Source organism: Homo sapiens, chromosome 6, assembly GCF_000001405.40.
Source record: "Homo sapiens chromosome 6, GRCh38.p14 Primary Assembly".
In the NCBI taxonomy this organism is placed as follows: domain Eukaryota; kingdom Metazoa; phylum Chordata; class Mammalia; order Primates; family Hominidae; genus Homo; species Homo sapiens.
Genome location: NC_000006.12, coordinates 15614975 through 15637204, shown reverse-complemented (window position 1 = coordinate 15637204; position 22230 = coordinate 15614975). Strand labels below are relative to the sequence as shown.

At 36.1% G+C, this 22230-nt stretch overlaps 1 protein-coding gene across 8 annotated transcripts in view, besides 3 other annotated features; it reads left to right on the top strand.

The window, feature by feature from the left end:
- The window catches only part of DTNBP1 (dystrobrevin binding protein 1), a 140252-nt gene that overhangs the window by 25854 nt on the left and 92168 nt on the right, over nucleotides 1–22230 (top strand). For all 8 annotated transcript variants that reach the window (NR_036448.3, NM_001271669.2, NM_001271668.2 and 5 more), the window contains 2 exons: nucleotides 9730–9862; nucleotides 21806–21938. Coding sequence is in view for 7 of the 8 variants with exons in the window: in NM_001271669.2 (NP_001258598.1) it covers nucleotides 9730–9862; nucleotides 21806–21938 (266 nt within the window). In the remaining variant the exon portion in view is untranslated. The remainder of the gene's footprint in view (nucleotides 1–9729; nucleotides 9863–21805; nucleotides 21939–22230) is intronic.
- Nucleotides 5371–5571: a silencer, noted in NCBI's record as "peak5684 fragment used in MPRA reporter construct". NCBI's record gives its function as "represses an SCP1 promoter by STARR-seq MPRAs in K562 erythroleukemia cells {active_cell/tissue: K562}" and the evidence as "EXISTENCE:reporter gene assay evidence [ECO:0000049][PMID:32103011]".
- Nucleotides 15351–15450: an enhancer, noted in NCBI's record as "active region_24086". NCBI's record gives its function as "activates an Ori minimal core promoter by ATAC-STARR-seq in GM12878 lymphoblastoid cells {active_cell/tissue: GM12878}" and the evidence as "EXISTENCE:reporter gene assay evidence [ECO:0000049][PMID:35858748]".
- Nucleotides 21052–21141: an enhancer, noted in NCBI's record as "active region_24085". NCBI's record gives its function as "activates an Ori minimal core promoter by ATAC-STARR-seq in GM12878 lymphoblastoid cells {active_cell/tissue: GM12878}" and the evidence as "EXISTENCE:reporter gene assay evidence [ECO:0000049][PMID:35858748]".

Genomic DNA, 22230 nt, shown 5'->3' with positions numbered 1-22230 from the left:
TCGAATACTCTCCTCAATGTTGTTGATGTCAATCAAACCTTATTTTTTTCTGAAATGATTTCTGTAATTCTGACTTTAAATAAATTTAGACTGATTTTCTTTACCATTTACCTAAATTAATGAAGCTGTAATAGTTATATACAACACAGGAATATATATGATGAAATGTAGACACTAGCATTTCTCTTAGAACTTACTGATAAGAAGAAAATGTAGGTTTCTGGTAGTAAGGCAGAATAGATACTTTGAAAAGCCCTACAGCTATAAAACACTTAAATGTTGGATATATTTTTTAAAAGTTCTTTAAGATACATTAAGCCCACAAAAATTAAGGGAAACATAAAGGGCCAACAACAACAACAACACAACAAAACAGAACAGGGAACTGAAATCAGAGTCATTAAAACAAAACAAAACAAAACATGGAAGTCGGGATCAAAATACTAAAACAAAAGCTTTGGAGATTTGTGGGAATAGGAGACTTTGTCTGTGGGGATCTGAATCTGAGACTTTTGATAAAGCTCTTTGGACTTTGAGGTGGCTACATCCCCCTGGTGAAAGCTTAAGCTAGGGGGAAAAAAAATGTACCTGTTGGCTAAAGGAGTCAACAAGGAAACCTGTCTGGCTTCCTAAGAAGTTGGCATAGCCTCGTTTCTTGATTTGTTACCATGGTATTGGCCTCATAGGAGTATGGGGTTCTAAGTTATATTTCCTGCCTGATCAAAGAACCTCTAAGTTAAGAAATGAAAGAGTTGGCTGGGCACGGTGGCTCACACCTGTAATCCCAGCACTTTGGGAGGCCAAGGTGGGTGGATTACCTGAGGTCGGGAGTTTGAGACTAGCCTGGCCAACATGGTGAAACCCCATCTCTAATAAAAATACAAAAATTAGCTGGGCGTGGTGGCTCATGCCTGTAATCCCAACTACTCGGGAGGCTGAGGCAGAAGAATCGCTTCAACCTGGGAGGCGGAGGTTACGGTGAGCCAAGATTGCACCATTGCACTCCAGCCTGGGTGACAGAAACTCTGTCTCAAAAAAAAAAAAAAAGGTGCAGGTAATTTGTGTTCTTTGACACCCAACAAAAACAAATGCAAATTCTCCATGGATGAAACTGTCTAAACCTAGGTCCCTCAGATTTCCACAGATTAAATCAGGCTCCCTGTCCTCAAAATGTTAGCAATCACACAAGTAAACCACCAAAAGTTTGAGTCACCAGAACCAAAGTGTGAGATTTAGACCCATAAAGGACTGTAGATACTGCACTATTGAATATTGACTGTTAAATAGTTATATATAAAATCTTTCAAGAGATAAAAGATGGACTTAAACGTGAGTAAGGAAGAAGGCACTATCAAATATTTTAAAGTCATTGAAATTACAAACCCAAAAGATGTGCTTAACAGCAATTTGAGGCAGCTGAAGAAATAGTGAGGTACAAGAGAGAGTCAAAGAGTACACAGAAAGGATCTCAGAAAGAAAATGGAAAATATGAAAGAAGAATTGATAGGCAGAGAATACTTATAAAAGGTCTTTAGGTTGAACCAGGTGAGATTGCCAATATTCGATGAATTTTTATCTGTAAAATTGCAGTTTCATATGAGTTAGCCCAACATATCCAGTAAACCTAAATAGTTCTAGAAAGAGCATGAGGGAAAGACAGTGTAGGAAAAACATGTCTGAGAATTTTCCATAAATGAGATATGTAAATCCTCAGATCCAGAAAGTACAACAAGCAAGCAAGATAATAATCCATTCCTAGACACCTCATACTGGAGCTACAGAACCCAGTTAGGCTCGGTGGCTCACACCTGTAATCCCAGCATTTGGGGAGGCTGAGGCGGGTGGATCACCTGAGGTCAGGAGTTTGAGACCAGCCTGGCCAACATGGTGAAACCCCATCTCTATTAAAAATACAAAAATTAGCTGGGCATGGTGGTGTGTGCCTGTAGTCCAAGCTATTCGGGAGGCTGAGGCAGGAGAATCGCTTGAACCTGGGAGGCAGAGGTTGCAATGAGCCGAGATCATGCCACTGCACTCCAGCCTGGGCAACAGCAAGACTGTCTAAAGCAACAACAACAAAAACTACAGAATCCTAAAGGAGAGGAGAAGATCTTAACTAGAGAGAAGATAGATCACTTATAAATGAATGAGTTCCACAGCAGACTTTTCAAACTGTTGTCAAGAATTAGAGTAAAAGCAAGACATACTCAGATAAAAACATTTTTCTATCAGCAATCGTCCAATAAAAGAACTTCTAAAGAATGTAATTCAGGAAAAAAGGAAACTCATTTTAGAAGATGGGTCTGAGATGTAGGAAGGAATAGTGAGCAGAGAAAATGGTAAACATAGATAAATCTAAACAGTGGGACATATATATTAGTTATCTAATTTGTGGGGTTAAAATGATAGAAGAATAATGCTAGATAACAAAGCATGTAAGATGGAAGGCAGATTATCAGCGTTCAAGCATTCTAACACTTCCGTATTATTTGGGGGAAATGTATTGATATTGATTAACCTCACTTTTAAAAGTTAATTATGGAGGGCAGAATTTCAAGGGTAACCACATACAAAAAAAATAGAAAGTGGTTGGGTGTGGTGGCTCACACCTGTAATCCCAGCACTTTGGGAGGCCAAGGCAGGCAGATCACTTGAAGTCAGGAGTTCGAGACCAGCCTGAGCAACGTGGTGAAATCCTGTCTCTACTGAAAATACAAAAAATTAGCCTGGTGTGGTGGCAGGCACCTGTAATTCCAGCTACTTGGGAGGCTGAGACAGGAGAATCACTTGAACCTGGGAGGCAGAGGTTGTAATGAGCTGAGATTGAGCCACCGCACTCTAGGCTGGGTAACAGAGCAAGACTCTGTTTATCTTCTAAACTAGTAGAAAAAAACTAGAACAATGAGAAAGAATTCAGTCAATGCAAAAGATGACAAGAAACCAGAGGAAAATGCATAACAGTAGAATAAACAGAATAAGATGGTAAATGTGAATATATCTGCAGCCTCAATATTTTTAAATGATTAATCTAGATTAATCTAAAGGGCATATTTTGAAAGACGAGGAAAAGTCTATTAATAGTTTATAAGTTACTGACAAGAGAAACACCTAGAACATAGGACACAGAAAGATTGAATGTATGGGCATACCTCAGAAATATTGTCAATTTGGTTCCAGACCACTGCAATAAAGCCAATATTGCCAGAAAGCAAGTCACACAAATTTTTTAGTTTCTTAGTGCATATAAAAGTTATGTTTATACTATACCATTGTCTATTAAGTATGTCTAAAAAAGCAATGTAATACCTTAAATAAAAAATACTGTATTGCTTAAAAAATGCTGACAATTGCCTGAGCCTTCAGTGAATCATAACCTTTTTTCTGGTTGAGAGTTTTGTTTGTTTTTTTTTAATGTTTATAGCTGCCGACTGATCAGGGTGGTGGTTACTGAAGGTTGGGGTGGTTGTGGCAATTTCTTGAATAAGACAGCGATGAAGTTTGCTGCATCTATTGACTCTTCCTTTCACAAAAGATTCCTCTGTAGCATGCAATGCTGTTTGATAGCATTTTACCCATAGTAGAACTTCTTTCAAAATTGGAGTCAATCAACTCCTCATCCATTCATGCTTGATCATGAGATTGTGGCAATTCAGTCACATCTTCAAGCTCCACTTCTAATTCGAGTTCTCTTGCTATTTTTACCGCATTTGGAGTTACTTCTGAAGCCTTGAACCCCTCAAAGCCATCCATGAGGGTTGGAATCAATTTCTTCCAAACTCCTGTTAATGTTGGTATTTTGATTTCCTCCCATGAGTCATGAATGTTGTGTGATGGCATCTAGAATAGTGTATTCTTTCCAGGAGATTTTCAATTTAGTTTGCTCAGATCAATTGAAGGAACTTCTATCTATGGCAGCTATAACCTTATAAAATGTGTTTCTTAAACAATAACACTTAAAAGTTGATATGACTCCTTAATTCACAGGCTACAGAATGGATGTTGCATTAGTGGGCATGAAAACAATGTTAATTAACAGTTGCTTGTGTGCAGTAACTTGGCGTCTCCATGCTGGACACATATAAGCCATGCATATTAGCTGTCGATACTCTGTTCATACAGCCTCAGTGTGTAGACAATTTAAATTTCTAACAATTATGATGTTCTAACAATTGTATTTGAAATGCAATTCGAGAATCTACTCACACGTTGTTTTAAAATGTGTATCAAGCTTAAATATAAAGTTTTCCTATATATATAAAACTTGCTATTGATATTTGCAAGGCTTATGAATATTGGATAATAAAAGGCATTCTACCTGGGAGACATTCTTCAATGTATGCCTATGGTGGCAAACCAAATCCAGCAATGTATAAAAAACAAAATACACTTAGTTTATTCCAGAATTAAAAGGTTAACTTGACATTAGAAAATCTTTTACATGCAATTGACTCTTAAGTATTAAAAGTGAAAATGATCGTCAGATGCAGAAAATACATTTCATAAAATTAAATACCTATTCAGGGTAAAAAGTTTTAGCAAATTTTTAATGGAAGACAGCTTCTTTGTCCTGATATCTACCAAAAACCTGCAGTGTTTGACTTGCAGTATTTTAATCCCATATTCGGCCATCTTGCTAAATTCTCTTATTCTATTACTTTGTATTTGGGGGTGCGAGTTGTTTTGGGTAGATGGTAAGTTTGTTTCTTTCCTTCTAAGCCATACAACTTTTAATTTTTCATGTTTCTTATACTGGGTAGAAACTCTAGTATAATGTTGAATAAAAATAGTTGAAGACCTTGTTCACATTTTGGCTTCATTAGATTTAAATGTGAAAAGGAAAACTATACATTTTTTGGAAAATGGTAGAAGAGAATATGTTTAAGACCTTAGGGTGGGAAAGATTTCTTAAGTAAGATATAAAAAGCACCAGCCATAAATAAGTACATTGATAATTTTTGTCAAAACTTTTTTTAATCAAACAACACCGTGAAAAATTAAGTGATTTATAAGACAGAGGCTAAGTGTTCAGAAAATATGAATAACCCCTATAAACCAATAAAAAGAGGATGAAAATAACCTAGGAGAAAAGTGAGTAAAAGATATCAGCAGGCATATTGCAGAAGAGAAAACAGGAATGGCCAGTACACAGTAAAATATGTTCAACCTTGCTTGGTATCAAGGAAATGCAAATTGAAACCCCAAATTTTCACTCATTAGATTACCAAAAATTTAAGAAGCTTGAGCTTTCTGTGCAGATGGTCATTATTTGCAGATGACAGTTTTGTTTCTTTCCTCGGAAGAAATGTGATGATAAACAACTAGAACTTGGGAGTATAAATTAGAACAATCACGTTAGAAAAAATGAGTTGGCATTAAGTAGAAGTTAAAGTTGCACATGCCTTTCAAGCAACAATTCTGCTTCTAGGAATTTTTCCAGAGCATTACATCCAACCTGCAGGGGCTGGGGAGGGGGATCTCATTACCCTAGGCCCTGGGCAATGAGGAGATGGATATCTTGGACACATCTGCAATTCATTTGTGAAACCCTTGCACATGTGCACCTTGAGATTTGTACCAGAATGTTTGTAGCAAGCTTGGTTTAATCTTTGGACAGTTCCGAAGTCCATCTGCAGGGAAAAGTGTGGTATTATTCATAAAATAAATACCGTATACAGCAGTGAAAATTAGTGAACTACTACACCTATATGTATCAATATGTATGAATCCCATGTTAAATGAAGACTGTGTCCTATAGAGGAGCTTTAACAACAATCATTCTTTTGATTATTAGAAGCATTAACAATATATACAGGAGAAAGAATTTCCTGTCAGATGTGTTATTGAATTTGTGCTACCTCAGGATCTTAAATTTTTGTATAATTGGTTATTGTAAAACCCACAGCTCATCAAAAGTACTTATGTTGCTTTGCAGAAACAGTACCCAGCCTTAAAAATGAAAGTTTATTTTAAAGCCTTCTGTGGTGTATTATTGAGATATATGTAAATATTTAAATGTATATCTTTAGTATGCATAGTATTAAACTTGTCATTTTGTAAATTTATTTTGTCAGACCGCTCATGTGTCTTTGGTGGGCTTTACCAGCATAACCTCCTGGGGCAAATATACTTTTGGACAATTCCATCTTGTTTAACAAATTATTTTATACTCATCTACTTTAAAGCTAATTATTATAACTATATAGTCTTAGAATTCAGAGCAATAGTTTATAAAACAAGCAACTGTGATCAAAGGTAACTTTGTTGTTTAGGCTTGTTTTCTTTTTTTTTGAGACGGAGTCTCGATCTGTCTCCAGGCTGGAGTGCAGTGGTGCGATCTTGGCTCTCTGCAACCTCTGCCTCCCAGGTTCAAGCGATTCTCCTGCCTCAGCCTCCCGAGTAGCTGGGACTACAGGCACATATGCCACCATGCCCAGCTAATTTTTGTATTTTTAGTAGAGATGGAGTTTCACCATGTTGGCCAGGATGGTCTCGATCTCTCAACCTCATGATCCGCCAGCCTCAGCCTCCCAAAGTGCTGGGATTACAGGCGTGAGCCACCGCACCCAGCCTGTCTAGGCTTTTTCTAAATAAGGGTTTCGATTTTTTTTCTCCTTTAGCAGTGTATTAAAAAAATACCATAAATAGTTAATACTTAGGGCTTAAACTCTGAGGGCAGTTTTCTAAAGTTAGACTTTCAGTGTTTTGCCTCTCCTGTTATTGTGAAATATTAGCTTGCCTTCAAATTGAACTTTCAAGATTCATGGTTTTGTTTAACAGTTTGACATTAAGCCAGTTGAATTTGACTGTTTCACTGTCAGAAAGTGAACTGAACGTAGTGTTGGAAATCCTGGTTTCTGCTCCTTGCTGCACAAATACCTGTTGACCTTGGGCAGATAACATGGCCTCTCTTAGTTTTCTCATCTATAAAATGGCTTAACACTACTTATTCTGCTTATCAAACTTGTGTGGAAATCAAATAAAATGAAGTGTTCCTTAAAACTCTGAACTGCTGAGTTTTATACTAAGATCCTATTCTACATCATTGGTGTACCTTTTCATCATTGGTGTGCTTTTTCTTCCTTCTCCTAACCTCAATATCCAGAAAGAATTTTGGAATAAAGCACTATGGGTTTGTCTTGCTCCTTAAACTTAATTTCCTGGGGGTGAATCTTGGTTTATTCTGAGTTACTTCGAGGTGGAAAAATTGAACTTCCGGAGATAGCTTTTTTTAATCATTAAGAAATTACACATGATAAAATGAATAGGTAACAGTACAGTTTTTCAGAACCGTTTCTTTTGCTAGATTTTTACTTTTCTTCTTCCCTTTATATACCCCTATAGCACAATCCCTAGTAGGTTGATTAAGGGCATAGGCTTACTGTCAAATTCCCTGGGATGGAATCTAAGTCCACTGTGGTCCTTAAGGAAGTAACTTAACTTCATTACACCTCAATTTTTAAAATCTGTATAATGGAGGTTATAATATTGCTTAGTGTATAGAGTTGCTGTGTGGTTTAAATGAGATAATATATGTAAATTACTTAGCACAGGGTCTGGTATTTAGAAAATGTTCAAAATGTTTTAGTATTGTATAATTGTTGATAATTATTGATAATTTCTGAGAATCTGTTTACCCTTCCATTCTTTTAAATGATAGTTTAGTGTTTTCTGATATAGTTTTTCTACATATGCTTATATTCTATATTCAGAATTTAATTTTCAGTTTTATTGCAGGTATGAACTAAACTGTAGTTAAATTTCAATATTTAAACATTGCACTTTAATTTTCAGTAAGAAATGGTTAATATGTAATTTTTAATATCTAAAATTATTTATTCTAGAGTTTTCAAATTAGAAACCAAAATAGCCCATAATATAGGAATTTTTTTTTTTAGAGTTTAAAATCTGAAGTTAAGAGAATTTATGAGGGCTGCCACTGAAGTATAAACAATAAGAGGGCAGGAATCATTACATCTTCAGTATCCAAAATAGGGCTTAGCAAATAGTGGGTGGTCAGTGGAAGTTTGTGGAATATTATAAATGAATTTTGTGAACATAGATCCTTGTTTCAAGCTTTGGTTTCCTTACTGCATTTTAGCTGTTTTTTCAGTATGTTTTAAGCTACTTTTAAAGATTTTTTTTAAAGACCAGTTGGCAACAGACATTTTTAAATACACAAAAATAATGAGAAATGCGGTTTGCGTGAAACTTGATGTGGCCTCCCAGCTCAGTTGAGGCTTGAATGTGAGAGATTATGTGTTTATCCCTCCAGCGTGGGCTGAGAAACCACAGGGAGATGTGTCATAGCTTAGTTCTTTATTTCAAATGAGAATTCCTACTATAGTGAAATGTACGAACAAAAACAATCTAGTACTACATACAAATAATTTTGTATCTTTGATATATTCATTCCTCCAAAGTTCTTTCTTAATTTATTAAGTGGAACTTAGTAAGAATCAGTTGTATTCAGATTCTAACTCTTAAAGAGCCTTAATCCTGGCCGGGCACAGTGGCTCATGCCTGTAATCCTAACACTTTGGGAGGCCAAGATGGGTGGATTGCTTGAGGCCAGGAGTTCAAAACCAGCCTGGCCAACTTGGTGAAACCCTGTCTCTACTAAAAATACAAAAAATTAGCCGGGTGTGGTGGTAGGTGCCTGTAGTCCCAACTACTGGGGAGTCTGAGGCAGGAGAATCGCATGAACCTGGGAGGCGGAGGTTGCAGTGAGCCAAGATAGCACCACTGCACTCCAGCCTGGGCAACAAGAGCGAAACTTCGTCTCAAAAAAAAAAAAAAAAAAAAAAAAGAACCTTAATCTTGAGATGTACAAATTGTCTGTTTTGAATACTCAAATTCATTTTCTTCTGTCATATAATGGGTTTTGTTACCTTTATTTTTTATCGTACAGATTATGGAGTTTTTTCCACAGTTCTTGCTTATTCATGTTGATATTTTCAAAAGATCACCTCTTCTTGCTCCTTCTAAGTCTTTCTAGGCCCTTGTCCCTCCCACTATGTTAAGACCAAAACAGAATTGTCTGGGAGAAACTAATGTCTGTCATTTTCTTTATAGTCTTTAGCAAAAGAAGTTAGAATTATCTTAGGCTATTCTAGAATTTCACAACCTTGCTATTAGGAACCCTTTACATCTGCTGAATTCCTCATTAACTTAAATCATTTCCTCTTTTTCTGGAATTCTGGAATTGGCCAGTTTCCTCAAAATTCCTTTATATACTTTATGCAATAAGTATTCCTGTTTAAATGTAAATTGAAACATGGTATATTCTAAATGTATTAGGGAACTTTTCTTTGAAGACTTCCTTTCGTAAAGCCAATAATTACCCGTTAATTATGTTTTATGTTTGTTTTCTTTTTGGTTGTTAGTGGTAGTTTTTTGTTTTTGTTTTTTTTTTTTCTAGATTTAGCTTTTCAAATACATGGTCTGCTTAAAACAGGGTATACTTAGAAGTGACTTCTGAAGTCATTTTTAAACTTTCTCTTCTGTGGGTTAAGATGCACTGATACAAGCAGTAATTGGAGGTTTCCTGCACTGAATATTAAGTTGTTTCTTTTCTAAAAATGAAAACAACTTCAGTCTCTTTTAGAATGTACCGTAATCTCTACTGAGTAGAGGGGTTGTTAAAGATAACATTAAATCTCATTACGTTAACTGTACTTTCTTTGTGCCTAAAACCTGGTTTCACTTTACCCCCCTTCTTGTGTGCTGCAGCTGGTGGATAGCGAGGTGGTCATGCTTTCTGCGCACTGGGAGAAGAAAAAGACAAGCCTCGTGGAGCTGCAAGAGCAGCTCCAGCAGCTCCCAGCTTTAATCGCAGACTTAGAATCCATGACAGCAAATCTGAGTAAGTCCAATGTTTTCATTGTACATTACTTTTAGGAATGAAAACAACTTGGGCAGGGTTTGGTGTAATTTCAGAGCTTTTCAGGAACACATGAAATTCTGGGTTAACAGGATTTTTTGGAAAATCATGATTTCATATTTTGATTAGTTGAGGATTCCACAGAAAATGATGTAAAGTGTAGAAATTAGTTCTGTTTCTGCCTCAGGTCAGCTCCGGACACATAATTATAATTATGTTGATTCTTAAAGTGACTCAGGTTGTCTTTGTTGACATTTGGTCTCTGTTTAAAAGCATACATATAGAAAATGGATTAGGTGACTTTGTCCTTACTGTAGAATGTATTCCAGAAATTGTTGCTTTTAAAATTTAGATATGCTAGAACTTCATGTCTTGTAGTGTATTTTTTTCTCTTCAAACGGATTGGAGATCAAACAAACCTGGTTAAATGAGGGTACTTGTGCTGGGTGTGGTGGCACGTGCCTGCAGTTGCAGCTATTCTGGAGACTGAGGCAGGAGGAGTGCTTGAGCCCAGGAGTTTGAATCCAGCCTGGGCAACATAGTGAGACCTTGTCTCAAACAACAACAACAACAAAGTAAATTAGGGTACCTGTTTGGCTAAATTTATACTCTGTGGAAATTTATTTTTTTGTCGTTGTTCATTTGGATGGATTATGTTGGTATTCTTTTTTTCTTGGGTTTATATTCAGAAAATTATCTTTTATGTTTGATGATGCCACATCTAAGGATAATATTGCAGCTTACTATTTCCTAATCAAGCTTAAGATCTTAGTAAAGTAGGAGGTAGGAGCTGTCTGTATGAGCTAATAACCTGTTTTAGTCTTTTAGGTGGGAAGCTAAAGATACCCTATTATCTCCTCCTGTTTTTAATATTGCCTTATTCAAAGCAAAACATGACTGATTTACAAGGCAAGTAATTGGCAAGTCATAAGACAGTTTTTTGTGTGTGAACAAAATAGATACGTAGTATTTGGAGTGCTGTTGCTGATAACAGTAGCTAATGTTTATAGCACCTACTGTATGTCAGAGATGATTAGATGATTTACAGATACTATCTGTAATTCTCACAAGAACCCCACAAAAGTAGCTTTTATTATTCCCAATTTACAGATAAACTAAGGCTTGGAGAGGTTGCAACTTGCTCAGAATCATAAAATTTATAAATGCATCTAGGATTCCAACCACATTGATGATATCCTCAATATCAGTATGAGGCAGTAGGATGAGGTGATGAGGCAGTGGGATGGGAGCTCTCAGTAGGTCTCTATGAACTGTATTCTTCAAGTCCCCTGGCTGTTGCCATGCCTTTCAGGGTCAGTGTTTTGTTATTTCTGAAGGCAGGGCATGGAAAAGAGATTCTGGGTCTTAGAAAAGTGTAAAATGGCTGTGATTGCCGTCTGCATTGGTTTCCTCTTACAGGTATAGTAATGGTCCTTCCCAAGCCTTGGACATAGCCTTTAAGATGTTCGGAACATTCTTCTTAGCCACTTTCTTTCAGCTCATCTTCCTGTATCTCTTTGAGTCACTTGCTTTTCATTGGTTGTATGTTTCTTTGCAGACATGTTCTCTTATGATAACCTCTTTTATTTCCCCAGCTGAGAGTAAATCTGTTTACGGATAGTTGTTGTTTGCTTAATACCACTCTATTGATTAAATGCATTCTGCCACAGTTCTCATTATTTTCATAGTCAATTCTGTTTAGAAAATGCAGTCTCTATAAGTCTTTCATAGAATATATTGTATGTTCGTTCCCAATTAGGATTCTAATATCCTGAAAAATGTTTGATGTTTAGTGACACATGACCTTATTCTTCAGAAACTGCATTTTGGCTTCTTAAATGCACAAGGTAGGCCTTCCAAATGTTCACTTGAATCCTCTCTTTTTTAGTAATCTGAGAACATCTAACACTAAAGACAAATGAAAGCTAAAACATTATCTGATATACTGTTCTGGTTAATCACTGCTAAATTAATTTGAGTCATTTTTTTCCTCTCATCTATGTCTAACCGATATTGAGCTCTTTTTAGAGAGTTAGTTCAGTTTTTTTTAGAAGGTATGTCTGGATGGTTGCTTTTCATATATATTGCCAATCTGAATTATCTGTTAGCCTTTGAAATACATGCTTCCTTTGGGTTTTAATCTATTGCTGTTATTTGCCTGATATTTATAATTAGTAATGAATGACTGTGGAAGATAGCATATCAAAACTTGGAATTTTAGAGACCTAGTTAGTATTTGTTGGCCTAGAATAAGCCCAGAGAGAGTTGTTTTAAAATCATGAGGCTTTTAGCTAAGCAATTTAAGCTTTATAGAATCATTGCTGACGATATTCTTTACAGTAGGAAAACAAACACTTTGAAGCCAAATTTGATGGAGTGAGTTGTGTAAACATGTATCTGTACCATTAATGTACTTTATGAATTCATTTTGATGCATTTATGTATCAGTCTTAGATTTTGGAAACATTTAGTGTTTTAAATGCTTACTCATTTACTGGGTTTTTTTTTTTGGAAGCCTCAAAATCTCTCCTATTATTACCCAAATACCTTGACATAATATTACAAAGCTTAAATAGTTAAGCAATAATAAAAAATAAAAACAAACTTAGAAGAAAATGGTAACCGATTATATTTAGTCACAGGGTCCCCCTAACTTCTTTGAACTTGTTGCCCTTTCACTGTCAAATGTAACACCATATCCTGTCAGTCCCTCCATTTTCCAGGCTGCTTCACTCTTTTGGTCTTACTTTGCTCTCTAGAGGCCCTGCTTTTATTGAAGGGCAAAGGATTTATGTTATGTGAGCAATTTGGACTTTTGATGATGCTTTTAGCTGTGTTATCCCATGGCTTCATTAATATGGCTCCTGGTACCTAGCCCCTTGGGAATTGTTAAGTTACAACAGATGATCCATTCATATTGGCTTCAGTCCAGCTTACAGGAGCCTATTTAATTGATACTTACTGGTAAGGTTTGTCGTTTTAAAAATAAGTAATAAGGGTATGCTGGGAACTGGAAAACAAGGGCTATGAACTGACAGATCGGGTTTGGCTCCCAATCCAACTTCCTCACTTTAAAAACTGTGCAGATTTCTCAATGGCTCCAAGCTTTAGTTTTCTTGTCTGCAAAATGACGATGAGCATACCTGTCTTGTAGGTATTTGGAGGATTAAAGGAGATGACAAACGTAACCACTTAGCACAGTGCCTGGTACATGCTGGGCATCTGCCACGCACCACGCACTGCGTACAGACTCTGGACACACAGCAGTGAACAAGGCTGGGCACCTGCCATCAAGATGCTGACGTTCTAATGGGGGCCTCTCTAGCCTTTGCGAATTCACAAAACCATTATTCTGTGACACGAGGGTTTGGATGGATGTTAGGCAGTTTAGCTTGTGCTGCAAAACAGTTTAGAATGCAAAACCACAAGATTCAATGTGGTGATATTAGTATTCTGTACATTGAAGGTGTGTAAGCATACAATGGAATATTTTTATCCAGATTCTATGCACTTTCTTATTCTGTGAAAAACCACAGTGCTTTTTAATCATAAAACTGGAAAAATATGTTTGAAAAGTATATACTGAATTATCTTGAACTTCCACTAGAGGGTAGTATAATCCTATTCCTTTATTGAAGTTCAAAATGTTAAAGCCTTGTCTTTGAATTTTCTCTTAGTTTATTTTATATGACCTATTTTTAAAAGACTGTTCCCTTCATCTAGAACAGAAGATTCTGGGTTTTGTTTTTGTTTTAAAATTTTAATTTTTTTAAGAGACAGAGTCTCACTCTGTTGTTCAGGCTGTAGCATGGTGATGTGATCATAGCTCACTGCAGCCTCAGACTATTCCTGGACTCAAGCGATCTTCCTGCCTCAGCCTCCCAAAGCTCTGGCATTACAGGATTGAGCCACTGTACCCAGCCAGAAGATGCTGTTAACTCTTAGATAAGAATTCTTAGATATAAGAGAATAGCAGCCGTATACTGAGTTTGTGTTTTTCTTTTGGTTTGACCTAGCCTGATACAGTATTATTTTGCTTTTTTCTGTACAGAATTTTAGAGGGCATCTAACAAAGAGATTATCATAGCTCTGTCAGTTTTTCATGGACTAGATTATCAGATGTCCAGGTTCCTTTCTGAGGCTAGACCCTTCAAGAGGCACATTAATTCTCTTAGACACCTTTTAGGCTACTACATAGATCTCATTTGTTCCATAATGGCTTTTGCAAGTTAATGTACTTCTTAAAGTTTCCTTATTCATACCATCATTACCTTATTACCTTAGTACATAAAAGTGTAACGTAAGCATTTGAACAGTCTTGTGGTCTTTCAGTACCTGGCCTCTGTGACCTATGGGTTTGCAGCCAAGGAGAGTTCTTTGTTCCATAAGGCTAATTATTTTGTTAGAAAATAACTCATTAAGTGGGAAATAATTTTAGTGTGCTGCTTCATTCTTTATATATCAGTGGTTACACTACAGATGATATGTATTTGAAACAAATGGCACAAAGAAAAATTCCAAACAGAATTGCTTTTCCTCTGGGACGGCCTTCTTGCAAAAATTTGTGAAGCTCTTTTTTGCACAGCTGTCAGGCATTCCCAAATGGCTTTTCACAATAAAATTCTACCTATCTCTTTCACTGATCACTAAATGAGACATATGCGGTTGTTATAGCGAGCAAAATGGTGAGGCTTGAGCTTCTTGTAAAGGTATATTTGTGTCCATGGAGGCCTGCTAGTATTTTATGTATATGCATCCTAAGTTGGTTACCAAATGTACTCATATATGCAACTTGTTTTGCAACAGGAAATGAGCAGGCTGTGACAGGGAAATTAAATTTCTGCTAACTTAAATTCAACATAAAATATTCGGAATACACATTACGTATGTACTTGTCATTATTATATGAAGAGCTTTTTTAAGTTTAATATAAGGGGATGAACCTTTATTTTTTTCAATGCAATTATTTTATATTTTGTTACTGATTTCAAGTCTGCTAAGTGTTAAAATGGAAAATTTTCATCATTTCTTCTGTTTTAAGTCACTGATAATGTGACCTGGTTTAATATACTAAAAGTATCATCATGTTGTTTAATGTTTTCTAAGTTCTCTGCTCATGTTTATTCTTTTACAAAATTTGGCATAGTCTCTTAATATTTAAACTAGATGACCATGAATAGTTTTGCCTTCTCAGTTATTTTACATGTTAGAGTAATAAAATCATTCTATCACCAGAAATTATTCTTTATTGAATTCAACAGACAGGGTTATTAGGGGATAGCAAAAAAGCAAAAATACAGTCTGCACCTTTAAGGCCCTTACTGATTCCTGAGAGATATGAGAGTACACAACTGGTTGGATGATATCAGTCAGAATGTGAGTCCTGTGTGAGGCTGAAAGGTCTGGGGAAGCACAGAAGAGGAAGGGAGCCCTGTGGGAGGAGGGCGGGCTGCCACTGGCCTAAGCCTGAAAAGACAGGCCGGGGTTAGGGACAGGCAGAGGCAAGGAGGAGGAGGCACCAACGCTCAGTACTCCTCTTGTTTTGCTGTAATGTAGAATATGTGAAGGAAAGAAGTGAAGTAAACAGTTTGTGGCCAGAGAGCAGTAGCTCTCTGAATGATAAGGAGTTTAACTTGAAAGGGCTGGGGAGCCTGTGAAGCTTTTTAAAGGGGAGAACATAAATATGAATTTGGTGTTAGCAGTAAAATGACCACGGACTATTTCAAGCATTTTTAGTCTAAATTTGTCATTCAGCACAAGAGCATGAGGCCGTCCTATTCAGAAGTATGTACAGTTTGTTTCTCATTAGGAATTCCAGGTTGATAAACCACTCACATGTTTTCATCTGGTCCCCACGTTATTAACAAAAGAGTGACTAGGGCAGCAAGTACAATTTGTACCTAGAACAGAATTTCTGTCTGTGAGAAATTAATTGGCCTGCCTAGAGATCAACCTCATTTAAGTTCCTGGCCTCATTAGCTCTGTAGTCAACCAACAGAGCTAGAATCTAAATGGAAATTGCCATCTGTCCAGATAAAGATTAAAGAGGTAAAAAGAACATACACATTTTCCAGCATAGAATAATTGTTGGCTCCATTACATAGTTTCTTTTCAGAAAAATCATTTGAAATTTAATTCCTTTTACCTGTAGGAGATCTTAAGTCTAAGACTATAGCCTGGAAAATAACTTATAGGTGTGTAAGTTTGTAAGATAAAAATGAAAATGTTGTTGACATTTTGATCTAATAGATCCATAGATCTTGTTTACATCATGATCATTACTGGTCAATGAAATTATTAGTTTTCAATCACTTTTATTAAATATAAAACTTAGCTAATCTAAAAATTTTCTCTATTTTTTATATTCAAACATTAATTATTTACTGTCAAGTATTAAGTTTAGGTACTTCGGCTCATTTAATCCTTTTAACAGCTTTGCAAGATATGTGTTGTTAGCTCTCTCTTCACAGACGAGGTATCACATTGCATCTCATCTGGCAGGAGCAGAGCTGGGTTTTTAAGCTTGTGCTTCAAAGCCTAGCTCTTAACCCGTCCCCCATATGCTAAGCATACATGCACGATACTGAATGCACCAAGTAGCTTAGAGTTAAATGGAGTCTATATTAAATTTAACTATTCTAGTTTTTATCACTAATCAAAATGAAACAGCCTTTTAAATAATCCTATTAGCTATGATAGTGTTTTATACATTTTAAGACCATGTCAGACTAGTTATAACAGAATGAGCTGAATATTGCTTCTTTAGTACTAGGAGTACTAGCTCCCAAGCTGAATCTCCTAGTCAGTTTTTCATTTAATAAAACAAAAAACAATGTAGGCTGGGTGGGGTGGCTCACACCTGTAATTCCAGCACTTTGGGAGGCCAACGCAGGAAGATCGCTCAAGCCCAGGAGTTCAAGACCAGCCAGGTCATAGTGAGGTCTCGTCTCTACAAAAAAATATATATATAAATGGCAGTACATCATTTTGCCTGATTCCCCCATATAAACTCCTTATGTACCATTTATGACATTCTTTAAAATCTTAAATACAGTTATTGGCTAAAATTTAGATTTTACAAATTGTTTCATTTAAGCGTTCCATAATCACATATAGTAGCTGTTTGATGTGGTCCCTGAAGCTAGATTCAAAAGCACCATGAACTACATTATTATTAGCCTTTTCCAGATTTACCGTGATATATTAATATGATAAAAGTCAGTACCTAAAATGTCTGAAGAAAACTGCTAAACTGCTTGTCATCAAATTTTCACTTTTGAATAAAATGTTATTCCCCCCCGACCAAATTCATGTTTTTAAGCCTTACACCCTAGCAGAGAGGAGAGGGAGTTTTTATAAGCACAAATATTTAATAGAGTTAAAATTTAGGATATTAGAAAGTGTCAAAAAAAAAAAAGGAATAAGACCTACTATTTTATAGCACAGTAGGGTAACTATTGCCAATAATAACTTAATTGTATATTTTAAAATAACTTAAAGAATGTAATTGGATTGTTTCTAACTCAAAGGATAAATGCTTGAGAGGAGGATAAAAAGAGAAAATGTCAACACTTCTGGATTATCTAATAGCTGTTTGGATCAAACAAAGATTAATTAAAAATAAAATCTTCATTAATAAAAATTCATACTTTATTAATTTTTTTTTACTTAATATTATTTTCAGTTCCAAGGTCTCATTCAGGAGACCACATTAAATTTAGTCATCTTGTCTTCTTAGGCTCCTCCTGGCTCTGACAGTTTCTCAAACATTTTTTGTTTTTGATGACCATGACAATTTTTTGAGACATGGTGATCAGATATTTTGTAGACTGTCCCTCAGTTGCAAATTGAGTACTTTGTAATATTTTGGATAACAGTCCTTTATCATGTATGTTCTGCAATGATTTTCTCCCAGTTTCTTTTCTTTTAAAAAATTTTTAAGTATTTACGTATATTTTTTGCTTTTATTATTATTTTTAATTGACACATAATTGTGTATATTTATAGGGCACAGTGTGATTTTTGATACATGTACACAGTGTGTAATAAATCAAGGTAGTCAGCATATCCATCTCCTCAAACATCATTTTTTTGTTTTGGGAACATTCAAAATCCACTCTTTTGCTATTTGAACATGTACAGTAAATTGTTATACTCTCCCTACAGTGCTATAGAATACTAGAACTTATTCTTCCTATCTAGCTGTAATTTTGTATCTGTTAACCAACCTTTGGCTACTGCCCACCTCCCCAGCAGCCTCTAGTAAACACTGTTCTACCCTCTACTTCCCTGGGATCAACGTTTTTAGCTTCCACATGTGGGTGAAAACATACAGTATTTATCTTTCTGTGCCTGGCTTATTTCACTTAACATAATGTCCTCGAGGCTTATCCATGTTGCTGCGAATGATAGTACTTAAATCTTTTTTACAGCTGAATAGTATTCCATCGTTTATATATAACACATTTTCTTTATCCATTCATCTATTGATGGATGCTTAGGTTGAATTCATATCTCGGCTATTGTGTATAGAGCTGCAATGAACATGGGAGTGCAGATAATGCTTCAGCATACTGATTTCCTTTCCCTTGGCTGTATTCCCGATAGTAGTGGGACTGCTGGTCATATGGTAGTTCTACTTTTGAATTTTTAAGGAACTTCCATACTGTTTTCCATAGTGGTTATACTAATTTAAATTCCCGACAACAGCGTATGAGAACTCGTTTCTCCGCGTTCTTGACAGAATTTGTTATTTTTGGTCTTTTCGCTAATAGCTATTCTTTTTTTTTTTTTAGTTTTAGGGGGTAAGGGGGTACATGTGCTTGTTTGTTGTGTGGCTGTATTGCATATTGGAGGAGATTGGGCTTGTAGTGTACCCAATACCCAAACAGTGAACGTTGTACCCAGTAGGTAGTTTTTCAATCTTTGTCCCTTCCCACGCTTCCCCCCTTTTTGGAGTCCCTAGTGCCTGTTATTTCCATGTGGCAATAGCTATTCTAACGAGGGTGAGATGATATCTCATTGTGGTTTCGATTTGTATTTCCTTTATAATTAGTGATGTTGAACATTTTTCCATATACCTGTTGGCCATTCATGTACCTTCTTTTGAGAGATGTCTATTCAGTTCATTTGCCCATTTTTAATAGGTTTTTTTTAATTTTTATTTTTTGCTGTTGCATTGTTTGGGTTCCTTGTGTAAGAATTTCTTGGGAATTTTAATTATAGGGCCATTATGAAAAATAGTATGGAGGTTCCTCTGAAACAAAACAAAACGAAAATAGAACACCATATGGCCAGCAGTCCCAGTACTAGGGATATATTCAAAGGAAAGGATATTAATCCCTTGTGGGATGAGTAGTTTGTAGGTATTTTCTCCCATTTTGCTGGTTGTCTTTTCAGTCTTGATGTTTTTTTTTCTCCAGGCAGAAGCTTTTTAGTTTGATACAGTCTAGTTTGTCTATTTTTGCTTTTGTCGCTTGTGTCTTGAGGTCTTCTCCATAAAATCTTTGTCCAAACCAATGTTCTGAAATGTTTCCCATATGTTTTCTTCTAGTAGTTTCATGGTTTCAGCTCTTACATTTAAGTCTTTAGTCCATTATGAGTTGATTTTTGTATAGGGTGAACGTTAGGGGTCTAGTTTCATTCTTCTGCATATGGATATTCGCTTATCCCAGCATCGTTTATTGATGAGACCATGTATTTCCCAATGAATGTTCTCGGTGCCTTTGTCAAAAACTGGTTGGCTATAAATATGTGGATTTATTTGTGGGTTTTCTGGGTTCTCTGTTCTGTTCCAGCATGTCTGTTTTTATGCTAGCATCATGCTGTTTTGGTTACTATAGCTTTTTGTAGTATATTTTGAAGTCAGACAATCTGATGATTCCAGCTTTGTTATTTTAACTCAGGATTGCTCTGGCTATTCAGGGTCTTGTGTGATTCCATATGAGTTTTAGAATTTTTTTTTTCTATTTCTGTGAGGAATGTCATTGGTGTTTTGATAGGGATTGCATTTAATCTGTAGATCACTTTTGGCAGCATGATCATTTTCACAATATTCTTCTAATGCATGAACATGGGGATGTCTTTTCATTTTTGTGTCTTCTTCAACTTCTTTCATTAGTGTTTTATACTTTGTCTTGTAGAGATCTTTCATCCCCTTGATCTGAAACTCCTAGGCTCAAGCAATCCTCCTGCCTCAGCCTCCCGAAGTGCTGAGATTACAGGTGTGAGCCACCACACCTGGCTCTTTCCTTCCCTTGGTTAAATTTATTCTTAAGTATTGTAATATTTTGTAACTATTGTAAATGGGACTGCTTTCTTGATTTCTTCCCCCCTGCAATTTCATTGTTGTTGTATAGAAATGCTACTGATTTTTGTGTATTGATTTTGTATCCTGCAACTTTACTGAATTTATTTATCAAGTTCTGAAAGTTTTTTTGGTGGCGCTTTTAGAGTTTTCTATACATAAGATCATGTCATCTGCAAACAGAGGCATTTTGACTTCCTCCTTTCCTATTTGGATGTCTTTATTTCTTTCTTGTGCCTAATTGCTCTCTCTAGGACTTCAAAAAACGGCAAAAATTTGCATTACAATAAACCTATAATTGTAAGTTGAAATTTGAGGAGTTTGCCTCAAACCTAAATGCTATGAAAGCTAGTTTAGAAAGTCATGTAAAAAGCTAGTACGTAAATGAAGGAATTATATTGTAGCCGTTTAAGTGAACCCAAGACTGGAAGGCTGCACAGCCAACTTGTTCTTCACTGCTCCCTTCCCCACTGGATCGCTGTTACTTCCTGACTTGGGAGTCATTTCTGGCTGAGCTTTCCCTCATCTGTGTTAGATGCCACTCCTTTGAGTTCCTTCGGCACCTCATGCCTTACTCTGTCATGCTCTGTTGCCATTGAAATATACCTCCCCTCTCCTGTAAGCTCCTTGAGCTCCAGGACTGTCTTTTTCATCTTTGTATCACAGTGACTGGCACAGTGACTGGCATATGTCAGTGAATAATAGATAACTAGTTATGAGGCTCTGAGTTCTCAAATCTTTGACCTCGAAAGCTTTTCTTTCGTATAAGAAAACAACTAATCCTTGCCCCTACAATCTCAGTTTACTTAGCACCCTGTCAATTGGAAATTAGTGTAATGTGAGAGGGATTCAGTTTGGATTCCTGACTGCCCTTCACTGGCCGTGTGGCCCTTCACTAGCTTGCCTGGGCAAGGCACTGTATTTGTTTTTCTAGGCTTTAGTCTTGAATCTTCTCAGTGAAAGGTTTGAGTGGGTGATCTTCATGTTCCAATACAGCTGCAAGGCTCTGTGGCCTAGCAGCAGAGTGGAGTAGTGAAAGACTAGTCACCTGACAGGCAGAGCAAAGTCTGTTCCTCACCCAACCACTGAGTAGCCTGGTAACTCATGCTTACCAAGTATTTGTGCATATCTACTGTGCCTTGAAGATTTGTGTATGTGATGTGCCAGAGGCAAAACAAATGCTAACGTAATTTAGAAACACAGATATTAAGTTAGTTAAGTATAGGTGTAATTAGGTTAAGGTAGGTATAATTTGTGTTAATTATATTTTACCATATTCTTATGTGAAAATTGGTTATTCACATGTGGTATATGGGATCATTAGGATATAGCATTACGTTAATCAAGATAATGTTTCTCCATTTCTTTGTCTTCCTGGTTAATAAGTGTTTAGGAAAGTTATTTCTTGAAAATGCTTGAAATGTAGTCAAAAAAGTAATTTGAATTATGGTTTAATGTTGGCCAGTATATTTTATTTTGCTTCAAGAAAGTTTAATAAAAAACATTAAAAATGCAAAACAATCTCAACAATGTGAACTTTTACCTTTTTGATACTTTTTGTATTCATCATGATTGAGGATTCTGACTTTTGAGGTCTGTTTATTTTTATATACTTTCAGCTCATTTAGAGGCGAGTTTTGAGGAGGTAGAGAACAACCTGCTGCATCTGGAAGACTTATGTGGGCAGTGTGAATTAGAAAGATGCAAACATATGCAGTCCCAGCAACTGGAGAATTACAAGAAAAATAAGAGGTGAGTTTGAAAAGTTTGCCACAGTATTCATTCCAGTCTCGAAGTTTTCCATATTACTTTACATGCTACTCTTTAGAAGTCCCGGCTGATAAAAGACAAAGGTTTCAACATAAAACTGATAAATAAGCTTTCCAAAACTTTTTTTAAAAACCACTGTCTGTTGCCATCTTTTGGAGATGAGTTATAAAAAACTCAGGAGAAGGTAAAACATGAATCCCAAATATAAAGATGAAGGAGTGGAGCACAGGGCAAAGTTTTCCAGCAAAATAGGAGCCCTGAGCTAGTTTTCTCC